Source organism: Homo sapiens, chromosome 18 (genome assembly GCF_000001405.40).
Source record: "Homo sapiens chromosome 18, GRCh38.p14 Primary Assembly".
Classification (NCBI taxonomy): domain Eukaryota; kingdom Metazoa; phylum Chordata; class Mammalia; order Primates; family Hominidae; genus Homo; species Homo sapiens.
The window spans coordinates 61,634,970-61,642,325 of record NC_000018.10 but is presented as its reverse complement, the minus strand read 5'-3'; the positions used below and the strand labels follow the sequence as shown (position 1 = coordinate 61,642,325).

Genomic DNA, 7,356 nt, shown 5'->3' with positions numbered 1-7,356 from the left:
TACTGGGAGAGATGAGAGTTAGATGTGATGCTACATGATCACATTATGCAATGAATTAGGTACATACCTAAGAACATAGATCTTAAGAGTATAGTGATTAGGTTTTTTGTCTGTTTGTTTGTTTTGTTTGTTTTGAGACGGAGCTTTGCTCTTGTTGCCCAGGCTGGAGTGCAATGGCACTATCTCGGCTCACTGCAACCTCTGCCTCCCGGGTTCAAGCGATTCTCCTGCCTCAGCCTTCTGAGTCGCTGGGATTACAGGCATGTGCCTCCACTTCCGGCTTAGTGGTTAGGTTTTTTTTTTAGCAAGCAAGAAAAAGAATGAGATGTATAACACAATAACTTTTAGATAAATTAAAAATATAGACATATATCTTGATTGAAGTGTCAGTTATACAAATTTGTATATGTGATAAAGTGTCATAGAAGTATACATCAAGATATAAACACACATAAAAAAGTGAGCGCATGCACAGAGCTGATAAAACCTGGCTAAGATCCATAGTCCAGGTAACTGTTTTATGCTAATGTCAATTTCCTGATTTTGGTATTAAAAAAGTAGTTATGTAACACTGGAGGAAACCAGGGGACCTGGATTGTAGGGGACCTGGCTTGTAGGGGACCTCTACGTGTGATATTTTTCTAGATTTTTTTTGTATGTGGTAAAATATGCATAACATAGAACTTACCATTTTAAACATTTTTACCTGTTCAGTTCAGTGGTATTAATTATATTCACATTGTGCTACAACCACCACCATTCATTTCTAGAATGTTTTCATCATCCCAAACTAAGCCTCTGTACCCATTAGACAGTAATTCCCTGTTCTCCATCCTCTAGCCCCCTGTAACCACTATTCTACTTTTTGTCTCTGTGACCTTGACTCTTCTAGGTACTTCAGATAAGTGAAATCATGCAATATTTGTCCTTTTTAATCCAGCTTATTTCGTTTGGCATAATGTCTTCAGAGTTCACCCATGTTGTAGCATGGATTGGAATTTCATTCCTTTTTATGGATGAATAATATCCACATTTATTTTAAAATATAAAATATTAATATTTAACTATATACCACACTTTTAAAAAACATTCATCAGTTGATGAATGCTTGGATGTTCCAACCTTTTGTCTATTGTGAAGAATGCTGATATGAACATTGGCGTACAAGTATCTATTTGAGTCCCTCTTTTCAATTCTTTTGGGTATATACCTGGGAGTAGAGCTGCTTGATCATATGACAATTCTATGTTTAACTTCTTGAGGAACCATCAAACTGTTTTTCCGCAGTGATAATGGCTATACCTCCACCAGCAATGTATAATTTCCTGAGTTGGTTTTAGTACTTACTAGACCCCAGGCATGTGGGCAGGAGGGAAACCACTGGCTTGGTTGAAGGTGGCACCTGCAAATCTAGTCCAAAGATGCCTTGGGGAACCAGCTGATACTTAGTGGCTGATCTCAGCCACAGGTGGACCTAGAGGCTTTGGGATAAGGAGCTCAAGGTGATTATATCCCCACCAGGAATGTATGAGGTTTCCAATTTCTCCACATCCTTGTCAACACTTCTTTTTTTTTTAGATAATGGCCATTGTCGTGGGTATGAAGTGGTATCTCATGTGGTTTCAGTTTGCATTATCTAATGACTACTGATGCTGAGCTTTTTTTCATGTGCTTCTCTATACTATTTTTTTTAACTTCTTGGGTGTCAATAATTTTTGGAAAATAAAGAGCTCAAACTTTTAATTTATAGCATCAATATTTTATTTTATATTTTAAATATTTTATTTCTAGCATGTATATGCTACATATATGTGTGTGTGTATATATATATATCCATAGATATCATGCAATAATATTATTTTGCAAGAACACATAAAAATAAAAAGATACACATTAAACAGATTAGAATGGTTGCCTCTAGTGAAGTAAGTAGTATTTGGAGACTTAAAAAAATAAACTGTAAACTAAAAATATAATCCTAAGCCCCCCAACAACTGAACCTACCCCCTCTTGGCCAAGGGGACTCCAGAGAATCCTCAAAAACTGAGTTCCCAGCCATGATGGAAAGGGAGCTTGGGCACGCCTCATTATCCCTTTTTGAGTTTAGGCACAACAACCAACCAGCATTAATGTTAGAATAGAGATCATAAGGCTGATAAAAACAGACTCTTTGTGGCTGTAAGATACCAAATCATAAACAAGACCTAGGACCAGGCAAGGCACAAGTTAAATTATGCCCGAAGGCCACTGGTGTTGCTAAACAGGTCATATTGTGGCTGGCTCTGACATCATTATTTTAACTTAAACATCCCTTTCTGTTAACTCCAAGTTTTTAGACAAACTTTTGTTCCTTTAACTGATTGCCAATTAAAGGATATCTGAATATCAGAATTCACCTATGACTTGTAAGCCCCCTGCTTTGAGATATCCTGCCTTTTGGGGCAAAACCAATGGGTACCTTCCCTATATTGATTTATGTCTTTGCCTGTAACTCCTGCCTCCCTGAAATGTACAAAACCAAACTGTAATCTAACCACCTTGGGCACACTTTCTCAGGACTCCTTGAGACTGTGTTTCCCTAGGCTATGGTCACTCAGACTGGATCAGAATAAACCTTGTTAAAATATTTTACAGGGTTTGATTTTTCCATTAACAAAATAAAGCAGCCAGACACGGTGGCTCACACCTATAATCTCAGCACTTTGGGAGGCTGAGAGAGGAGCATTGCTTGAGTCCAGGAGTTTGAGGCTGCAATGAGCTATAATTGTACCACTACTTCAGCCTGGGTGACAGAGTGAGACCCCGTCTCATTATATATATATTATATATATATAAAATATATATATAATTAAAAATATCTCAGAGTATGCTTAAGCAAAATAATAATAAATTAAAAATAAATAAAACTAAGCAAGAGGAGGCATTGAGAAGACCAAGATGACAAAGGACCACGATCCAAGGAGTATGATTAATTTGAACGTTTGCACATGAAGTCCAAAAGGAAAAATAAAATGAGAAGGAAGGTGAGAAGGCAGGGAAAACACATTCCTCAAGCCTACAATCATGCCTGTTTCTGCCTCTCCTCATCCCACACGGCAGGTTGATATTTGGAAGACCAGTTTGTCTTTTTAGCCCTTAGGTCTCCTTCCCACTGCCCCTCCCTGGCTCCATGAAAGAGACCCAAGCTTGGCTGACGTGGAGGTGGGGAAGGTTTGGTGGTCCAAAGATGAATTGACAGGTGTAAGCATCCCCTTTCCTCCCCTTCCCACAACTGGCTAGATGCATGGCCTCAGGCCTCTGCTTCTTCTTGAGGAAAGTGTGGGAATTGGTCTTCTCCGAGGCCCCTCCTAGCTGCCTCACACTCTGACTTGAAACCGCTCAGGCCATCTTAACCCCAATCAACTTTCTCTGGGCCCAGCAAGTGCCAGGCCCTGAGTGTGGCTGCCATAGTCAGTCATGTGAGCTGTTGGTAGGGACCACCCTCTTTTGCAGGTGGAAAGGGTGGACAGGTTGTTCTTTCAAAGATGACCTCAATTGGCCTAAAACCTGGAGAGGAATCCAAGGAAGGTTAATTTTTTCTCAGGAAGCTGCCCTTTAGACAGTTTCAACCATCTTTTTGATATTTCAGCATTTCCAGTGCCAACTGGAGACCAGTTGACTCCGGAGGGGGGTATTTCTTAAGGGGTGTAGTCAATTTTTAAAAATCCAAACAAAACTCAGAGAAGAGGAAGCCAAGGGTTGCAGGTTGCAGGGAAGAGAGTAAAAAGCCCGTTTTGTTTTAACTCCATTTAAGTACTTGGCTTCTTTCAAATAAATACCAGGAATAGCACTTGCCAGAATTCAACTTCAATAGCACATATGTGTGAGTTTCAGCCCAAAGTGCTGTATTGGAAAGGCTGGCAACTCTTCTACGAGAAATTTCCCTCACCAGGATGTGTAGAAGACTGATTTCCATTATTTACATTACAGCAGGGACACTTTCCCATTCTGTTGCACTTGGGAAATAAGGAGCTGGAAATCTTTTAATTAAACAACTTGTTTTGTTTTGGTGACTAGCTCAGTGGAACCAGTACTGAAGGGAGGGTGTGGTGGAAGGTGGGGCTTTGCAGGCGGCACCCTGGCCAGTGGGCTCAGTGGTGTGGCTGGCAGAGTTTACTTCTTGAACCTGCAAAATGACTTGGCTTCAAAGTCACCTCGGTGAAAGTCAATTTGCTCTGGTGGAATTGAATTCAGAGATTAGAGGCACCACTGTCTCATGGAAATTTACAGGTGACACATGCTCTACAGGAGGGCAATGCTTTTTCTTTCTTAGCATCCCCACTCAGTTTAGAATAACAAGCAACATTAGCTACAGGGGAAAATAAATAAGTTCAGGAATGCAAACTACTTTTCCTAATTTACTGGGAAAGAACCTCTTTTCAGTATATAAATCAGGCCTTGTTGGGTTTTTTTTTTTCCATTTAAAAAAATTACAAAAACCAAATGTATCATTTGAAAAAAACACAACTATTAAGTATGTGTTGCTTTTAATTAATCAACTCAAGTCTTCCAAGCTACTAGCAAACAAAATGTGCATATATACTGGTACATTTAAGCAAGACTGTAACAAACATGCCATCTGTTTACAGTAACTTGATGTGAGTCCTACATATGCTGGCACACAAGGGGATGACCCAAGAGCTGTATTGGCTGGAATTTGCACCATTCGGACCCTGCATTTTTAGGAAGTGTGAGAAGTCATGCAGGCTTACTGGCCTTTAGAGAGACTTTAAATAGCTCTCCCCAAGCCAGCAGAGATGGCATATGCAACCTGGCTTGAGGTGCAAAGAACTGCCTGCAGAGGGCCGCCTGCCAGCAAGCGCACACACACGCACACCTGCTGCGCACGCTTGGCACGGCCAGTGGCGCTGGGTCCATCTCAGTGAAAAGCCCTCAGTCCTCTGCTTGATTCTTTTATGAAAACAGCACTGGGTAGCACTAGGGGAGGTCCCAAAGCTGCTTAAGTGGGATCAAACAAAGGTTCCAGGAGCATGTGTGCTCTTCAGAACGCAGGTTTCTTAAAGAAAAGGGAGGAAATTCAGTGATTGAATAGTTTGGGAGGTGCTGCAACCAGTCTGCTCCTCTAGAAAATGCATGGTGTTCATACACTGCCATAGTGGAGGGCCTGCAGCAAGGAACTCTGCTTAACTTTGTTTATAAAATAAAAATGCTTTTGAGCGGGGGACGGGAGAGTCCCCTGATCTGGAGAAAAGTAACCACTCCCTAAAAAATGGCCAGAGGAGCTCCCAGACAGAAATCCCATCCTACTTCTTCCTGCTTTGGTAAGGAAACAGGCACAGGGGAATGCACATCGTGTGGCATCTGGGGAGACTGGAGCCCCTACCCAGTGGTTCCCTGGTAAAGGTCTTGAAGATGAAAATTGCCCACTTGAGACCAATAGGAACTCCCATGCTTGGTTCAGCCCTGACTGGTAGAGATTTCCGCAAAGCTTCATTCAGAAGCTTGGTCTGGAGGTGAGGAGGGGCCTGTTTGAGCTCTCTGTCGATGACCAACTCTTCCCAGTTGACCAGGACTCTCCCAGGGTTAGCACTCAAAGTCCTGAATTCCAGGAATCTCCTCACACCTGGGCAAACCTGGACATTTGGTCACCTTAGCTCTCTCAGAAAAAAGACAAAGCATTCAATCCAATCTAGTTTTTAAAAGAAAATAAGAACTAGAGGTCTGTCCACAGGAGCTGCACAAGATTGCCTTTAACCTGGGTAATTCACCCTCTGCTTATTTTTGTTGCCTTTTAATCTGTTTCCTGGTAGTAAATCTCAGAGAAGAAAATGTACCGTGTGTTTGCCTGGGGCTGGGTGGGGCGTGGTAGCTGGGGACAGCTGGCTCAGAAGCCAGGGAAATCTCTTAAGGTGAGAGAAGCTGGTTGCACCCTGGGGCCTGTGGAAAGAAACAGCAGGCCAGCTGGTCTGGGCCCTAAGTGCCCCCCTTCCCCAGAGGCTGCTTAGCCCAGCCCTCTTCTACAGGGCTTCAGCCTGCAAGGGCCTTTCCCTGCTCCCTTCACTTCAAACCTTCTTCCCCACAATGCACTGGAGTGGATTAATTCCATGCTTTGCACTGTTTCACGCTGGGGAGGGAGTACGGCTCTGGGAAAAACATTAAAATGTGTTCTTGGCTCTTTTCACACCACACTTCTTTTCCTTGCTCCTTCTCTTCTTTCATCTTTGCTCCTTCTCTTCTTCCATCTTTGCCTTCTATCATTTTTATTTTTCTCTTCTAGGACTCAATTTTAAGTCCCACCACCGTCAAGCCCAAGTGCCACTACCGCCCCCTTGTGTTTTCTTGATGGAAGAACGCAGCCCCAGGGCTGCCCACACACCTGGAGAAAACTAGGGGTGGAAAGGTGTGATACATTTTCTTACCCATCATAAGGGGCACAGCTGACACTCCTATAGGAAAAGACAGGTTAACAAGAGGAAAGTGTAACAAATTATTTGAATCAAAGTTTTACATAGCGCAAGAGCCTTCACAAATGAAGACCCAAAGACCCAGAGAAAACCATCTATTTGTATGCTTACGTTCCATGAAGAGTGGACAACTATGTCAAAATGTGAGTGGACAAGGGGTGTGATCTAATGGCGATAGACCGAGGCAGGGGGACCCAGCCAGGTATGTCCAGACTCTTTTTGGCCTCTCTATGTAGGCTTTCTCCCCCGTATGGGGCAGAATCTTTCTGGAAAGAGAAAGGGAAGAAGGGAAAGAGTGACCTTTTCAGACTTTATGGCTTGCTTTGGGGAAGAGGGATCTTAGCTTTATGACCCACTGTTGCGGGAAGTCAGGGACCCCGAACGGAGGGACCGGCTGAAGCCATGGCAGAAGAACGTGGATTGTGAAGATTTCATGGACATTTATTAGTTCCCCAAATTAATACTTTTATAATTTCTTATGCCTGTCTTTACTGCAATCTCTGAACATAAATCGTGAAGATTTCATGGACACTTGTCACTTCCCCAATCAATACCCTTGTGATTTCCCATGCCTGTCTTTATTTTAATCTCTTAATCCTGTCATTTTATAAGCTGAGGAGGATGTATGTTGCCTCATGACTCCGTGATGATTGCGTTAACTGCACAAATTATAGAGCATGTGTGTTTGAACAATATGAAATCTGGGCACCCTGAAAAAAGAACAGGATAACAGCAATGTTCAGGGAACAAGAACCCACCTTGGAGAAGGGGGATTTTGGTTTCTATGATTTGCTTCAGGGGGAGAAAGAAGACAGGAGAAGATCAGAGGAGAGACTGCTTCTGAGGCCACGTCTGAGGCCTTCCAATCTCCTCCTTTAGTTCAAAGTACTCA

General features: G+C 42.6%; 1 annotated feature.

The window, feature by feature from the left end:
- Window positions 6,366–6,415: an enhancer, noted in NCBI's record as "active region_13428". NCBI's record gives its function as "activates an Ori minimal core promoter by ATAC-STARR-seq in GM12878 lymphoblastoid cells {active_cell/tissue: GM12878}" and the evidence as "EXISTENCE:reporter gene assay evidence [ECO:0000049][PMID:35858748]".